At 34.7% G+C, this 18,480-nt stretch overlaps 1 protein-coding gene across 11 annotated transcripts in view; it reads left to right on the top strand.

Annotated features, from left to right (window-relative positions):
- Positions 1–18,480, top strand: part of SLC35F5 (solute carrier family 35 member F5) — a 53,961-nt gene that overhangs the window by 9,675 nt on the left and 25,806 nt on the right. For 8 of the 11 annotated variants that reach the window (NR_104470.3, XM_047445926.1, XM_047445923.1 and 5 more), the window contains exons 5-11: positions 629–691; positions 3,174–3,255; positions 4,089–4,276; positions 11,110–11,191; positions 12,295–12,382; positions 15,320–15,384; positions 17,463–17,567. Coding sequence is in view for 10 of the 11 variants with exons in the window: in XM_047445926.1 (XP_047301882.1) it covers positions 629–691; positions 3,174–3,255; positions 4,089–4,276; positions 11,110–11,191; positions 12,295–12,382; positions 15,320–15,384; positions 17,463–17,567 (673 nt within the window). In the remaining variant the exon portion in view is untranslated. Of the gene's footprint in view, positions 1–628; positions 692–3,173; positions 3,256–4,088; positions 5,085–11,109; positions 11,192–12,294; positions 12,383–13,564; positions 13,604–15,319; positions 15,385–17,462; positions 17,568–18,480 lie in introns of those variants that run through there. The other 3 variants (XM_017005027.2, NM_001330315.2, NM_001330317.2) reach the window with 2 other exon arrangements.

The raw sequence follows: 18,480 nt of genomic DNA, 5'->3' as shown, positions 1-18,480 counted from the left end.
ATAATACCAAGATGTTTCTTACCTTTTTTTTTTTTTTTCTTTTTTTGAGACGTAATCTTGCTGCCCAGGCTGGAGTGCAATGGCACAATCTTGGCTCACTGCAACCTCCACCTTCAGAGTTAAAGTGATTCTCCTGTCTCAGCCTCCCGAGTAGCTAAGATGACAGGCACCTGCCAACACTGCTAGCTAATTTTTTTGTATTTTTAGTAGAGACAGGGTTTTACCATGTTGGTCAGGCTAGTCTTGAACTCCTGACCTCAAATGATCCACCAGCCTTGGCCTGTTACTTGCCTTTTTAACTAACCCATCCCTCTTTTCCCTACTTATCTGAAATGTTATAGTAGTGTTCCGAAAAGGGCATAAGCTTTGGTTTTAGACTAACTTGGGTTTTAATCCTGACTGTCAGGATTAAAAATCTCTCAGCCTCAAATTTTTCATCAATAAAATGAAGATAATACCTACCTCACAATGGTGAATATGTGGCATTAGCTGCTATTATTATTAGTAACAGTTTTAGTCTTACAGGTTGATTCTGGATTTTTGCTTCTATTTATCTGAGTTACGTCTGACTAGTCCTACAGTATAATGTAAGTTTCATTGAATTTTGTATCTTGTTATCTGTATTTAGTTTGCAGATGCTGAAGGTTACTTTGCTGCTTGCACAACAGATACAACTATGAATAGTTCTTTGGTAAGTGCTTCTTTTCTTGTCAGGAATAGAGAGGTGGGGTTGAGCCATGGTAGGAAAAACTGAAACAGGTTTGATGGCAGCAAAGCTGTATTACAACATAGATATGGCTCAATATTGGGTGCCCATCATTAGGATTGTAATTTGGTACTTTTTTTCTCCTTAGGGTTACCTGGGGCCTAGAGGTAAGCAATTTAGCTGCCTCTGAAGAGAGAGGGGAAGGGAAAACTGGTTCAGGAGTGAAAATAATAAAGGACAATCCTTTGTTACTAACCAACTTTTTCACTTCATGCACATTATTATTATCATTTAGAAACAAATATTTTTGACACTGAGACTATATAGGCAAATTATTCGTTTGTTCCACAAATTTTTTACAGTGACAAATCTGTGTTAAACACGTTCTAGGCTCTGAAGATACAGCTTTGTTTTAGTGTGTGAGTGTGTGCGTATTTGCGAGGGGACAGGTAATAAGCAAGTAAAGTAATTGACATAGTCACTTATTTTAAGTATTTGTAATCTAGTTGGAGAGGTAGTATATAAAAATCTTTTTTTAAGATGATCACTCAGGCATCTCTTTTTTTATTTTTTATTTTTAGATTTCTTTTTAGAGACAGGGTTTTGGTCTATTGCCTCTGGTGGAGTACAGTGGCACAATTATGGCTTATTCTAACTTTCAACTGCTGGGCTTAAGCAATCACCTTGTCTCAGCCTCCTAAATACAAGCATACTCCACCACTAACTTTTTATTTTTACTTTTTAGGAACATGGTCTTGCTATGTTGCTCAGGGTGGCATCTCTTTAAAATGTATTTTTAATGATACTTGTTTTCTTTCCAAACATGGCATTTTATCTGAGAAAAATTTTAGTTACTCTAAAATTTAATAGCAATTTGTGAAGCACTGGCTTGGTGACCTTATTCACAGCACAGTTTCTTGTTTGTCTCTCTGTTTTTTAGAACTGCGATGGCATGCAGAGTAGGTTAATAGATACTATGAAGAATTTTTTTTTCCTGGGATCTTAAGCATCAATAAAATAATTTAATATCATTTGTCTCTATCAGTACAGAGGGCAAAGTTGAGATGGCAGCCTGCTCTTCTGGCTACTCTTGTACTAATTCTTACTATTATCTGTAAGATGGATATGTCAAATTGCTCTAGGCCAGATGCCGTAATGAAAACTTCAGTGTAACAAAGAGATTATGTCTATTTCCAGACCCACTGTCCCTTCATTTACTGAATTTTTTTTTGTTGTTGGTAGAGCTCTGTACCAGGAGTTAAAAGAGAAATCAAAGAAATAAAAAAAAGTTCTGTTAATTTTGAAGAATCAGCCTAGTTGGAGATTTGTACCTTAAATATAGATCATCTGAAGAACATTTGCAAAAACAGTTGAGGAATTTATAACTACCTAAAAATATGGACCTTTGGAGCATGGTTAGACAAACCTGGCTTTAATTGTTTTGTCTGCTACCTGATTACTTTATACCTCAGCTTTATTCTCTAAAAGTATAAATATTATTATTATTTTGAGATGGAGTCTCGCTCTGTCACCCAAGCTGGAGTGCAGTGGCGCAATCTCAGCTCACTGCACAACCTCCGTCTCCTGGTTTCAAGCAATTTGCCTACCTCCACCTCATGAGTAGCTGGGATTACAGGCACACACCACCACGCTCAGCTAATTTTTGTATTTTAGTAGAGATGGGGTTTCACCATGTTGGCCAGGCTGGTCTCGAACTCCCGACCTCAAGTGATCTGCCCGCCTCAGCCTCGCCTCCCAAAGTTCTGGGATTACAGGCCTGAACCACTGTGCCGGCCATATTCTATAAAATTATTGTGAGTACTAATGAGAAATATATGTTTAACTGCTCTAGAGTTGGTACTCAATACACAGTAAGAACTGGTAAGTAGTAGCTATTTTGTGTAAAGGTCTTCAAGAATTTTAGTTTTTTATTGAGTTTTACATAATAAGAGGAGACAATTTAGTAAATATAAATACATACTATATACCTGGTTATCAGTTTGTTATCTGCCTTGCCTGTTAGACTGCATGATCACTGAGGAAGAGACTGCTTTTATTCACCCTTCTATCCCCAGGACTTAGAACAGCGTCTGACATAGTAGGAGCTCAGACTCCTACTATGAGCATTTGTTAAATGAATGAAAAGGAATGAGAGAGAATCTGTTAGCTGAGATGGAATCTGTTAGCTAAGAAAGAGATATGTTTTTATGACATTTAAATATTAGATATCATAATATGCCAATGCTGTTACATTACATTGCTAAACTGTAAACTGATTCTTTTCTGTCATTGTAGCTGTATGGATCTGTTGAGTTTCCTTTTTTAAGTCTTGAAAATTGCTGTTTAAACTTGGTGGTGAACAACCACGTTTTAGATGGTATTTGTGTCTACGTACTATCCATTTAAATTTTAACCACTATGTTAGCTTTTATATTTGTTGTTTATATTTTTTTCTGTTACATTCCAGAGTGAACCTCTGTATGTGCCTGTGAAATTCCATGATCTTCCAAGTGAAAAACCTGAGAGCACAAACATTGATACTGAAAAAAGTAAGCAAAACTTGGAAATGGGTAGAAAGTTTACCTTTATTCAAGCCACTTCAGAACTTAGTGATGATGTGGGTTGACTGAAACATGTAGCAGTTCTGCTCCATGTGGTCTTGACTCAGCCTATAGTCTTCTAGAAGTTTGACTGGATTGTGAATCTAATATAGTATAATCATTTTTGTATTATTTCAACTGGAAATAATTTCCAAATACCATAAATCTCTATGGTTTCATCATATATATGTATACACACATACACACATGCATCACACGCTTATATATAAACAAATAATATCCTCTTAAATATGCCCTCAAAGAGCCTAATAGCAAATTATAAGAGTTTTGCTGATTCTGTGAATTTAGTAAAGAATGCCACCTTTAACATAAGGTGCAGTATTTATCCTTAATTTCCCTTGCAAGGAATGGACCTATAGAGAATTGTTCTGCGTGCTTGCCCAAGAAACTAATTCTCGTAAATTGGGTATGCGTGAGGAAAAATCCAAATAAAGTTTTACTAGGAATACTAAAATAGTAAATCAAACTAAAATCCTGAAATAGGCAGTTATGTATATACAGTACACAATTGCAGAAACCTTGTTTGAATATTGGTCTCATTTTAAACCTTTTACAACATTTTTGTAGATGAAATCATTTTTCCTTTTAACTCTTTTAAGTGAACAAAGTTGTCTCAGGTAATGATATACCTCTTTTTGGTTTACTTTGACTGTCTTACTCTGATCATAGATGAACTTATACATTTATCAGTAAATTAAAACTTGTGACTTTTGTTGGAGAGGAATTATTTAATTATTTCATATTATGCTCTTCCTTTTAAGCCCCCAAAAAGTCTCGTGTGAGGTTCAGTAATATCATGGAGATTCGACAGCTTCCGTCAAGTCATGCATTGGAAGCAAAGTTGTCTCGCATGTCATATCCTGTGAAAGAACAAGAATCCATACTGAAAACTGTGGGGAAACTTACTGCAACTCAAGTAGCGAAAATTAGCTTTTTTTTTTGCTTTGTGGTAGGTCTTTTATGATATGTTTGCATATGATGTTTGAAACTTGAATTTTAAGACTGTATACATACCAACAATATAGGATTGAAGTGTGAGACAATTAGGTTGTTTAATCATGACTTTAAACTCTGCTATTTGATACCGGTAGGAAGTTAGGGTATCAAAATTAATAAATGCTTGATATACCTCAAAGAGTTAGAATTCATTAAGTCCTATAACACTTCAGCTATTTACATATATACACAAACTTACAAACACACACAGGTTGGGAAGTTCTTCAGAATTTAGCATTGCCTCATGCTCAAAATTATGAATAGAGTTATTTTACACTGTGATATATGTATATACAAAGGCTAGTAAATATCCAGATAAGAGTTTACTGTATGCATTGATTTTTTTCAAATAAGTGTTTTGCAGTTTTATATTCATATAAATGAGGTTAAGTATTATTTTGTCAAGTACTCAGTATATTTCTACAGAATTTCTGGTTGTATTATTTATAGTTTCTTTTTAAAGATAGAAACTGAAAACTGTGCTTAAGATTTCACATAGAATAATGATGGAGTAAATAAAGTATTGTTATTTTGGGCTAAGCTGGGATTAGAGACTTGTCTGAGTTAGAACTCTAACATGTAGAATTTAAAAAATGAATTTCTGTGATATTTTATGTGTACATCATTGGAAGTAGCCTAATCCAAGGTTTTTTAAATATGAGCCTTTAAGATTCAAATTTGTACTGAGCATCTTAAACCCCTAAACAATGAAATGCTAATGTCAATGTTATTAGCCTGATTATAAAATTTTTTTAATGTCATGATTTTGCCTTTCATACTCATTAAAATAGCCCATTTTTCTCCATTCCCTGGCTCTACTAATAACACTATTCTTTATAGCAGATTTAAAGATATGTGCAGATAATAGCCTTTTTAAGAATTAATTTTTGAAATTATAATAAAGTATACATAAAATATACCATTTCGATCTTTTTTTTTTTTTTTAATGGAGTTTCGCTCTTGTTGCCCAGGCTGGAGTGCAATGGCGCGATCTCAGCTCACCACAACCTCTGCCTCCTGGGTTCAAGCAATTCTCCTGCCTCAGCCCCACGAGTAGCTGGGATTACAGGCATGCGCCACCACACCCAGCTAATTTTGTATTTTTAGTAGAGACAGGATTTCTCCATGTTGGTCATGCTGGTCTCGAACTTCTGACCTCAGGTGATTCCCCCTGCCTCAGCCTGCCAAAGTGTTGGGATTACAGGCATGAGCCACTGCTCCTGGCCCTGATCATTTTTAAGTGTACAGTAAGTGGCATAAAGTACATTCACATTGTTGCACAACCATCACCCCATCCATCCACAGAGTTTTTTCATCTTATAAAACTGAAAGTATCCGTTAAACAATAGCTCCTCTTTCCCACCACCCCCAGCCCCTGGCAACCACTATTCTGTTTCTGTTTCTATGGATTTGACTACTCATAAGTACCTCATGTTGAGTGGAATCATACAGCATTTGTCTTTTTGAGACTGGTTTATTTCACTTAGCATAATGTCCTCCAGGTTCATCCAGGTTGTAACTTGTGTCAGAATTTCCTTTCTTTTGAAGGCAGAATAATATTTCATTGTACAGATATACCATCTTTTGTTTATTCATTATTCTGTCAATAGATGCTTGGGTCACTTTGACCATAAATGGTCTTTAAAAAATAGCAACTTAAAATACATTGTGAAAGCAGAGAGCTAACAGATAATTTCAGTTTTATAAGATGAAAAAATCTGGCCAGGCTGGGTGGCTCACGCCCGTAGTCCCAGCACTTTGGGAGGCTGAGGTGGGTGGATCACGAGGTGAAGAGATTGAGACCATCCTGGCCAATGTGGTGAAACCCCATCTCTACTAAAAATACAAAAATTAGCTGGGCATGGTGGTGTGCACCTGTAGTCTCAGCTACTCAGGAGGCTGAGGCAGGAGAATCGCTTGAACCCAGGAGGTGGAGGTTGCAGTGAGCCGATACGGCGCCACCGTACTCCAGCCTGGGCGACTGAGCGAGGGTCTGTCTCAAAAAAAAAGAAAAAGAAAAAAATCCTGTGGATGGATGGGGTGATGGTTGCATAACAGTGTGAATGTACTTTATGCCATTAACTGTACACTTAAAAATGATCCAAATGGTATATTTTATGTATATTGTAATTTCAAAAAATAATTTTTAAAAACACTATTATCTGCACATACCTTTAAATCTGCTATAAAGACTAGTGTTATTACATAACAATTTACATAGTACATTTCTCTCAGAGTTTTACGTTAGGAAAACGTTTGCTTTTTCCAAGGAAGAGAGATAGTTCCTTTTAACAGACAATAAGCTGTGTAACTCAGGGGTTTTCCTATTGCCTCCCTGCCTTTCTGCCTACGGATGAGTTGTGTGCTCACCTGAAGTAGCTTTCTTCCTTTAAACTGAAGTTTCTGATACAATCATCACGTTCCACAGCCAGCTCCCACTCCATTACCCATTTAATCTGGCTCTTATCTTTTTACTCTTGTTTTAATTTTTACCGTATTACAATTGGTCCTTGAACAACATGGGTCTGTATTGCACAGGTATGCTTACACACAGATTTTCATCTATCTCTGCCACACCTAAAACAGCAAGACCAATCCCTTCTCTTCCCCAGCCTTCTTACACAACATGAGGATGACGAGGATGAAGACCTTTCTGTGATGATTCATTTCCACTTAATGAGTCGTAAATATATTCTTTCTTATGATTTTCTTAATAGCATTTCTTTAGCTTACTTTATTGTAAGCATATAGTATACAATACATACAACATACAAAATACCTGTTAATCATTACTTATGTTATTAGTAGGGTTTCCAGTCACCTGTAGTCTATCAGTAGTTACGTTTTGGGGGAGTCAAGAGTTATAGCAGATTTTTTATTGCCTGAGGGTTTGTCCCCTAATCTCCATGTTGTTCAAGGGTCAACTATAGATGCTTTTATTACACATCTCCTTTGAAAACTGGGTAGCATATAATTAATACATTTTAGTCCTGCCTGACACTCATTTAAAACAAGCAAACAGAGATCCCAACTAATAACATGAATATGTGAGACTTTAAACTATTTTTATTACATACGTAATTATCATACTACAAATCCCAAAGATTTTCTTTTGATTTACATAGCAGAATATTATTAATCAAGTTATCACTAAAATAAAGGCATTTCTTTGGGAAGTCAGAGGAATATAGTCCAGACATACAGTTGGCCCACCAAATCCTTGAGTTCTCCCTCCTTGGATCCAACCAACTGCAGATCAAAAATAATGAAGGTGAAAAAATAGAAGAATAGCAATACAACGATAAAAATAATAGAGATTGAAAAACAATAGCACAACAACTATTTACATTGTTTTAGGTACAAGTAATCTAGAGATGATTTAACGTATATGGGAGGATGTGTGTAGGTTGTATCCAAATGCTATGCCATTTTATATAAGGGACTTGAGCATCTTTGGATTTTGATACCTTTGGGGTTGGGATCCTGAACCCAATCCCCTGCAGATACTGAGAGAAAACTAGCTTTTTGGAAACCTAGCTTAATAGAATGATAAGCTTTAGATAAGGTTAAGAGCAGTGCTGTTCAATAGAAATATAACATGAGCCTCAAATGCAGGCCACAAACATAGTTTTAAATTATCTAGTAGATACATTTAAAAAAGGAAAAGGAAACAGATGTTATCAATTTCAATATTATATTTGTATTTAGCCCACTATATGTAAAAATATTATTTCAACATATTATTGATGTAAAAATTATTGATGAGATAGTTTACATTCTTTTTTGGTACTAAAATCTTCTAAACCCAGTATGCATTATACTTAAAGCACTTTTCAATTCAGACCAGCCAATTTCAATTGCTCAGTAGCCATGTGTGGCTAGTGTCTAATGTACTGGACAGTGTAGATCAAAAGGAGTTAATGATTACTGTATTTGCCAGTCTTCTTTGAATATCTTTTGTCTTACTAGGTTGTTTTTTTTTTTTCTGTAAAATGTAATTTAGGTGATACTGGCTTTATCAAGAATATCTCTTACTACATATCCAAAGTAAATGAAATCAGTATCTCAAAGAGACATCTGTACCTCCATGTTTATTTTACAGTGTTCATCATAGACAAGATACGGGAACAACCTGAGTGTCTATCGATGGATGAATATATATATAGTACATTTTCATGGCTGAACATAATGTAATATTATTCAGCTCTAAAAAGAAGGAAATCCGCCATTTGCAACAACATGGACAAACCTGAAAGACATTATGCTAAATGAAATAAGCCAGGCATAGAATGTCAAATACTCACAAATATGATCTCACTTATGTATGTAGAATCTAAAAAAGAAGGAAAGAGTAGAATGGTGGTTGCCAGAGAGTAGAATGGTAGGGAAATGGGGACGTGTTGGTCAAAGAGTACATAATTTCAATTATAAGATGAATAAGTTCTGGGAACTAATGTATATGGAGACTTCAGATAACAGTACTATATTCTTTACTTGTAATTTGATAAGAGCAGATTCTTAAGTGTGTTCATCACATATACACACAGAAAAATGGTAACTATGGATGATGATGGATGTGCTCATTAATTTGACTATGGTAATCAGTAGACAATGTCATGTGTATATTAAATCATGTTATATACCTTGAACATACACTATTTTTATCAAATATTAACATTTTATGACAATTTAAAAATGAATTACTAATGAAATTATGAAATATATTAATTATTTGCTATAATTATTCATAAATGGTTATCCTCAACTCTGAAATAATGAAGGGAGACGTTGTATGGACAATTTCTATTGGAGGATGGTTGAGATGGGTCTTCTTTGGTGATGAGGGTGCTGTGGAAACAAGAGCCAGAGAATGGAGTTTGGGGAGAGGTAGAGAATGGGAAGGTTATTCTGGAAAGAATTCACAGCTAATGAAGGATTCTTGGGACCTTTGAATGCTTCTTATCTAAGTGATCTGTTTTTATTTATTTACCTTGCATTAGCATGGACCAGTGAGGTTGTTTGGAAAATGAGCACAATATTTAAGTATAAAAATAGTAAGAGAAGTGGGTCAAGAAAGCTAATAATCACTCTGTGAGCATTATCTGTTCATGGAGAAAATCTTTGACAGATAAGATTAAGGGTCGAATCTTCTTTTCTAGCACTTCATCGGCATGCAGATTGTGGCTTCTCTTGCCATATATGTTTGATATTGCCCATCAATTGTTAACTCATTTTATCTAGATAGGCATGTGAAATTATCTAGGAAATCAAAGGATTGCAGATGGAATCAGAACCACGTTGCCACAGTTTCATTCTGGCTTTAGCCTTGAGTACAGTATGGACTGAATGGAGACTACTAGGCTCTCAGCCATCTGCTGTGTTCTGGTAGTGCTCTACAATCATGTGTCTCTACTACTTCTTTGCAATGTAAATACTAGTGTAAAACTACTCAGCCACAAGCTCTGAGAGAGATCGAGAGATGTTCTTCTCTTAATAGAAATAAGTCATTTGGTGGAATAACTCTTCGAGTCAACCAGTGTAAGTAACAGAGACACCAAAAACTAGCCATTAGTTTAGTTTGCTTGACCCAGCAATCTACCTCTTAGTATATGCTTTGGTGACACTCATGTACTTATGCACCAGGTGGCAGGTGTGTACTAGAATTAAGATATTCATAGTAGCATTGTTTCAGATAGTAAAAAAGTGTTATCCACAAAAAAATGGATGAATTATCAGTGAAAATTACTGAACTTTGGACACACACACATCCTGCCAACCTTCATCAAAAAAAGCATTATTTCTTATTCTCCATCCTAACCTAGATAAGTGGAAGAGAAGAAAGAATTTTTTAAAAAAAGTCCTGATAGCTGGAAAACTTCCTTCACTGTATCCAAAGTTATGAGAACTCTTTGGGTTGTGTTTCCAAACTGAGATTCAGAAAAGCAATCACAATTAATCAATAAATTATCATTTTCATAGGACATTTCTAAATTTCCAAAGTGAATATAGCCTTTTTTCAATCCAGCTAGCTAGCTAGGTCCATCCATATCCATGCACATCATCTGGTTTAATAGATTTCTCATTATGCTGTATTCATCTGTATATATTCTAATGTTGGAGAATTTTCTCAAATTTAAATATGATTTAGATAAACTTAACAGAGTGTCAGCAGTACTTAGATAAAGCGATTTTTTTATTTTTTGAGAAATGGTCTCTCTGTCACCTAGGCTGAAGTGCAGTGAGGCAGTTATGCCTCACTGCAGCCTCAACCTCCCAGGCTCAAGTAATCTTCCCACCTCAGCCTCCTGAGTAGCTGGGATTACAGGTGTGCACTACCACGCCTGGCTAATTTTTGTATTTTTTTTTTTTGTAGAAATGGGGTTTCACTGTGTTGCCCAGGCTGGTCTTTCTGGGCTCAAGCAATCCACCCACCTCAGCCTCCCAAAGTGCTGGGATTACAGGCATGAGCCACTACGCGCAGCCTAGATAAAGCAAATTTTTAAATTGATTTGATACTTGATTTTACTCATTAAAAAAAAAAACCTGAATGCTAATTGTTAACCAACTATTGTTAAATTTTAAGGGAAATTGGGTAGCATGGTCTTAGGTCTGATTATAAATGTTTGTCTTTTTTGGGAGCCTGTGATTTTTTCAATACAAAGCAGCTTTTAAAACATCTTGTGAGAACGGTATTTAGGAGGAGAACAAAAAAGGGAATTCTGAATTGTAATGACAGATGTAAACATGTCTTTCATTAGGGTTCACTTTGGTTTTCTTTTTCTTTAGTGGTTTTTGGCAAATTTGTCATATCAAGAAGCACTTTCAGACACACAAGTTGCTATAGTTAATATTTTATCTTCAACTTCCGGTAAGAAATTTGTCTTTAAAAATCTGCATTATAAATCAGTGTATGTATTTCTGGTATATATGTGTGTACATGTACAACATTTTTATCTTGTTATAGCTTCTTACATTAGTTCTAATATACATTAGTCTATTACAACTGCCTTTTAATCTGTATACAGTCAGGTGCTGCATATGATGTTTCAGTCTACAACAGACTGCATATATGATGGTGGTCCCATAAGATTATAATACTGTATTTTTACTGTACCTTTTCTATGTTTAAATATGTTTGGATACACAAATACTTACCATTGTGTTACAGTTGCCTACAGTATTCAATACAGTAGCATGCCATATAAGTTGGTAGCCTACAAGCAATAGGCTTATAGCATATAGCCTAGCTGTGTAGTAGGCTATACCATTTAGGTTTGTGTGAGTATGCTCTATGATGGTGGCACAAGGATGACATTGCCTAACGACACACATTTTCTCTGTATTTATCCCTGTTGTTAAGCATGACTGTAGTTTCATGCCTTAGCCTGTGCTATTTATGTTCCTTCAAATACTTTACAATATTTTTTATATAACAACATATTACAGTTTTATAGGCTGGCCTTTTGTATTGTAGTTGCCTTTCCCTTCACACATCCTTTCCAGAGATCTTTTTCTAGACCCTTTGGCTAAAATGTAATTGCTTATTTCAGAACTATAATTTGCCCTATGATAGGTGTTTTATTTTTAAGATTGAATCACCTTTCAAATCTGGAAGACAAAAGTATTTTTAAAGCTATAAAAATAACTTTAGGGACACAGGCTTGATTATGATGAAGTCAGCATGTTACTCTGAATAAGATTTAAGTTTCCTATTAGTTTAAAATAAATAGGACTGTACTTGATCTGTACTGTTGAAATAAACATGGTTTAGTTTGGAGGCTATTTTATGCATGAACTTTAAACATTTCAGTCTAGTCATTACTTAACTGCAGTCATTTTCTTAGTTAAGAGTGACAAAAATAATTTGAAAGGTAGGTATATAATTTGCTTATTTAAACAATGAAGTTGGTAGTAAAAATGTTGACAGTATTTAAACTCATGTACCATTTTTAAATTCTTTTCTCCTCATAGGACTTTTTACCTTAATCCTTGCTGCAGTATTTCCAAGTAACAGTGGAGATAGATTTACCCTTTCTAAACTATTAGCTGTAATTTTAAGGTAAGCATATAGTGTGATAGCTAGTTTGCTCTGCTTAAAAATACAATATTACAATTTCTGATAGTGGCACCAGGGTAGTTTGTATTGTAAGAGCAAAGAAAGATGTGGATAAAAGAAGGCTTTAAGTGGACATGATGCTACTTAGCCCTGTCACATCCTGCACTAGGTTTCTAAACCTTCCTGGGTAGGGTAACCAGAGGGAAAACCCCAAGGCTGCTTTGGTTCCCATTCATGTGTCTGCAGACTCATCAAGTATTGGACTGACGTTCACACTTAATGTAGCAGCTTAATCCTCATAATCTCCCAAGTTTCTATTTCTTTTTCTTAAGGCAATTTCCCCTCTTTGTTTTGATTTTTATTTCTCCTTTTTCTACTTCTCTTAGAAAGCTAACATTCAGTTTTCTCTAATTGTCTAAGCCTCAGGTGATGTTTCAGTTATTTTCTGTATAATTCATTTGGCAGTTTTGCACTACTGCATAATATGAGTGTTGCTGATAACTATACTTAAATATTTTAATTTAACTTTATGTATGTTTGTTTTGTCTTCCATACTGGTTTGTAAACCCTTGAAGGCCATAGCCTTGTTTTATATTTGTGTCATCAAAGACCTAGCATAGGGCTTTGCCCATAGACAGTATTGAAAAAAGATGTGTTGGTTTAATAAAACTTATTTTATGAAACAAAATCAGAGAAGGTAGCAGGATGATTTGATGGAGAGTAGTGTTTCTTGGTTATCAAAGCTGAGATTGAATAAGAGCTCTGCTGTTTGCCCTGGGGCAGTTTTCTTAAACTCTGAAAGGGTTTCCTAGTTGAGAAAATGATATTATCTATTTTACCTTGCAGCCTTGTTTTAAAGTTTAGTGGTAATAGCTATGAAGTGTCTGGTATTGGGCAATCATAGAAAACTGGTAGCTCTTAATATTAAATGTTTTTCTTTTTTAGTTATAAGGGTAAATTAACCACGGTTGCTCCAATGGGCAGCTGGTTGATCCAACTAATTTACCATTTAGACTTTATGGCCACTAGGGATTTATTCTTTTACATGATTTACTAATGTTTTAAGCCGAGCAAATTTTTGCATTAGGGAAATATGTTTGTATTGGAGAAGTAAATGAGGTTTTATTTAACTTTATTTAAAATATGTGCTAATTTATAACTTTTCTTCATGTTATCTTAATAAAGACTTGATAAAGAAGGAAATGGATATAAAATATTGAACTTGTAAGTATTTTGACAGAGTACATTACTTCTTCTCATTAAAGTAGGTAGACGAACAGAGGTTGGCAAACTATGTTGGGTCAGCTGCTGGTTTTGTAAATAAGATTGTATTAGAACACAGCCACTCTCATCTATTTACAAATTGTCTATGGCCATTTTAGCACTGCAGAGGCAGAGCTGAATTGCAATACCATGTGGCCCAGAAGCCTAAAATATTTACTATCTGTACCTTTAAAAAAAAGTGTTACTTAGAAATTTTTTGAGTAAGTATATGTTCTTAAGAATTATGTATTAAACATTGTTTAATATTTTGTTTTGAATTGGCATTTTACTAAGAGATTCAATTTCTGAGGCTATAAAAAGAATTTTACATAACAACAATCTTGAAGGGAATCTAAGCAAAGAAATCTCATTTCATCAATTGAGAGACAAGAGTGTGGCCTCAAGCCAAACAACTTGGAATCCAATCCCATCTCCATCATTACTAGTTTTGAGATCTTGAACAAGTTCCTTACATTTCTGTGCCAATTTTCTCGTCTGTATATTGGGGATAATAATAGGATTTCTCTCATAGGATTATTATGAGGATTAAATGAGTAGAAGTTGTAAAGTGCTTGGAACAATGTCTGATACACAACAGGAGGTGCTCACTATATTTAGCCATTATCATAATCATCATCATTTAAATGGAAACAAAATCCCTGGTTTCTAATAAATTGTGGATACTCAATAAATAATAGCTGAATCTGAATATGAACAGTGATTATTACAGAAAATTGGGATGATTTAATTGAAGGGTTTGCATATTTAGTGTAAGGACTGCACTTGAGTTCTGATGACATCTTTCCATAAGGGAATACATATTTTCTTTCATCTTCCTCTCCCACTGCCACACTGGTCTTTCTCATCAGGGTGAGAGAATTAGGCTAATTTTTTTTTTTAATTAGCAATATCTCATCTACTTGAAAACGTGTTACAATTTATAAGATTCATAGAAATAGACAATGCAAAGAGTTCCCTGAGGACAGGAACCACATCTGTATTGTTCACTTCTGTAACCCAGTGCTTTGCCCATATTAGATGCCCAGAAAATAACAATTGAGTTTATGAATGACCTCTGATATCTCTACATCCTTAATTCAGTCTTATTTTTATCCACTAAAATCATGAGATTAGTGAAATTGTTTAAGCACGTAAGGATAGTTTTACTGTTAATTTAGATTTTACCAATAAGCAAGAGTAGTACTATTGCTGGATTTATATGGGTTTGATATAATTTTATAATCCAAAAGAAAGATTGGAAAGGGATGACAAGTTGGTTAATTCATTCTTAACTGAAAGATAGTGGATAGCATAGCACATAAAAGCACTGGACTCTGGAGTAAAACTGCCTGTATTTCAGTCTCGGCTATGTGATCTTGGTCAAGTTACCTTACCTCTTTGTGTATTAGCTTTCACATGTAAAATGGGAATGGCAGTAATAACACTTCCTTATAAGGTATAATATTGTACATTTTGTGAGGATTAAATGAGTTAATACAAATATAACACTATATTATTATATTGATGTTGTTAGATGTTATTATTGAAATTGCTAAATTATTTGATAGTTTTACCCAAAGTTGAGATTAGTCTTGATCACTTATAAATAATTTTTATCTTCATGATTAGGCTTTTCAGAATTCTTTAGCTCATCATTAATGACTGTTATTCTCATAGCATTGGAGGCGTTGTACTGGTAAACCTGGCAGGGTCTGAAAAACCTGCTGGAAGAGACACAGTAGGTAAGTACTGGACTCTGGATTCTCTCTGTTAGAGTAAATAAGAAAGTTACATGTGCGTGCTCATGTGCACAGATGAACGCACAAAGGGTAGGCACTAGCAGGGTGGGTTTTTTTTGAACTTTTCCTTTGGAAATAACATAAAAAAATGCGTAAATAGTTTAGTGAATTCTCATAGCCTTCACCCAGATTTTTCAAATGTTAACAACTTACATAAATATTATACAGTTATAAAAATCAGAAATTAACGTTGATTATGATACTGTTATCTATAAAGCCTTTTCAAATTTTGCCACTTTTTCCACTAATGTTCTTTTTCTGATCTAGGATCATTTATTGCATTTAATTGTCGTGTTTCCTTAGTTTCCTTTAAATGCAGAAGTGTTCCTCAGTCTTCTTGTCTTTTATGACCTTGACACTTTTGTAGGGTACCACCTAGTTGGTTTGTAGAATGTTCCTCAATTTGCATTTGTCTGACATTTTCTTTGGTTAAATTGAGGTTGTGCATTTTTGGTAAGAATATAATGGAAGTGATATTGTTTCCTGATCAGTGCATTCTACCAAAAGGCACATGATATTGATTTGTCCTGTTGCTGGTAATGTTAATTTTAAGGTGGTTAAAATTAACCACCCTACTCCAGTGTAAAGTTACTAATATTTCCCACTGTAAGTAATAAGCATCTTGTGGGGGATACTTTGAGGCTATACAAATTTCCTGTTGCTGTCATATCTTCACCCACGAATATTGCCATTTACTCTTGATTCTTGATTCATAGTTACTGCTATGGTGAACACTTAGATTTTGATCCATTGCTTAGACTTAACAAAAACAAAAGTAATCAGAACCTAGCTGGGCTGAGCATGGTGACTCATGCCTGTTATCCCAGTGCTTTGGGAGGCCAAGGTGGGAGGATCGCTTGAGGCCAGGAGTTCAATACCAGCCTGGGCAGCATAGTGAGACCTCATAATAAAAAATAAACCTAGATTAATTATTTCTCTTTGAATACTTCTTTAGATATTTGAGGTTTATTGAATAGAACAATGCTTTCTAAATTGTTCCTAGCTACTACCCAGTGAGCTGTGCTTTGAACCTCCTCACCTCTTTCTCACCCAGAGCAGCTTTGTGTATATAAAACAATATATGTATTTGGTATGTGCATGTGTATGCAAGATTTTGTTGACAGGCTTTTCCTTAGCTTTAAAAAAAGTTTGAAAATAATAAAAAAAATTTAATAAAACATTCGTCTTTTGAATAATTGATTAAAGTATTGAATATGACCACTTGGCAGAACATTATTTAGCTGTTTTGAAAAGTTTAAATGGTTTTGAGAGTTAATAAAGAGAATCAGTATTTATTATTCATGTACTGTGAGATCTGTATTATGTTAGCTGTTTTGGAACATTAAAAAGTATAAATTATGTGTTTGCAGTTTTCAAGGAGTTCTTGATTTGGAACAATATGAGATTTATAAAATGAAGCTACTAGGGATTAAACTAATACCACACTTGACAATAGTAAGTATTGTCTAAAACAGAAGACAGGACAGAAATACAGCCGATTAGAAAGAGGATGCTTTGTGGAAGAAATGGAACTTTAACAGAGCCTTTAAGATGGGAGTGGTAGTGCAATACATATTAAGAATGATATATGGGGGTAAGGAAGACAATACAAGCAACAGCTTAGTGATGGAAAAAAAATTTGTTAAGTTGGAAAATGCCAGGTGTCAAGATTGTTTAGGTAGGGTAAAATAAGAAACATGCATTTCTAAATTAAAAACAAAGTGTTACTTTGGAGTTGTATTATTATAATATGTATAGGTTTTGGTCGAATCATTGAGGTGAATGCTTTTGCATTTATTTGTTAACACATTAAACTCCTTCCTGTACTCCTAGAAGACTTGGATGGGGTAGGCTATACCTTTTCATTATATATCTTTATATCAATATAAAGGTGATTTATATCATTATATATCTTTTCACTTTTGTATATTCTTGCAATATTATCTGACACATTATTGGATTTTAAGCGTATATTGAATGAGCTAATGAGTGATTGCTTTAAATCATGTCCATTTTTACAGGTTCCATTTGGTCTCTTGCTGGAGCCATGCTCTATGCTGTCTATATTGTTATGATTAAGAGAAAAGTAGATAGAGAAGACAAGTTGGATATTCCAATGTTCTTTGGTAAGAATATATGTAACTTGGGAGGCTATTTACTCTAAATGATTAACACAGGGTTTTGCTTTTGTTTTTCAGAGGGAATAGGGAAGCCTTTTTTTTTCTTCCGTATGATTCTTTAAAACCATTTAAAGATTATGAAGGCCAGTCCCAATGTTTTCCTTACTTTATCCTGCATAGTTGTGCACCTATGAGGGAGTGCCCATCTCCTCAGTGTGAGACAGAAAGAAACTCCTAACACTTTTTTCAAATTGATGTCTTCAGACTGCAAGTCAGATATTTATCTCACTGATAGGACAGATTTATGCTCTTACAAGCATGTGAGAGTTTACCTGCTGTATTTTACATTTTGCCATTTTTGAATAGTTAGCAAAGGACTGGGGAGACTGCCCCCGAATTATATGTTTAATGCTGTCGCAGTCTATGTACTTATGTACATTAAAAATTGTGGGCCATTTAAATGCTTTTCATTTGCATTTTATCTTTAAGACACAGACACTTTTATAACATAGATTCATTCTCAAATTACCCAATTATAGTTTCTGGATATGGTTTATAAATTTTCCTTTGCCTGACATCAGTTCAGGAAAGAACTTGCGATATCTGTAGGACTGGAGAAGAACACATTGACAAGATAATCTTTCAAAAGATATCTGAATATAAATAGATAAAGAAGCTCCATGATAAGAGTTCAAAGTGCAGCTTACAAGGAGTCAGGAGACCTGGAATCCAGCTGTTGTAACTTTATTTATCTCATAGGCATCTGAAATATGAGGAAATTGGACTAGATGAATGGCCTCTAAACTGTGATTTAGGGAATAGGTAGGCTTCTGGGATGGTTGGAAGGAAATACAGTTGCATGCAGGGGTCTAGTTCTTGGACTCCTTTGCTGCTTCACCTGTGGAACAGCTCTACTTTG

The sequence above is a fragment of the Homo sapiens genome, chromosome 2, assembly GCF_000001405.40.
Source record: "Homo sapiens chromosome 2, GRCh38.p14 Primary Assembly".
In the NCBI taxonomy this organism is placed as follows: Eukaryota; Metazoa; Chordata; class Mammalia; order Primates; family Hominidae; genus Homo; species Homo sapiens.
The sequence above is the reverse complement of the archived record's forward strand: the minus strand, read 5'-3'. Positions and strand labels throughout refer to the sequence as shown.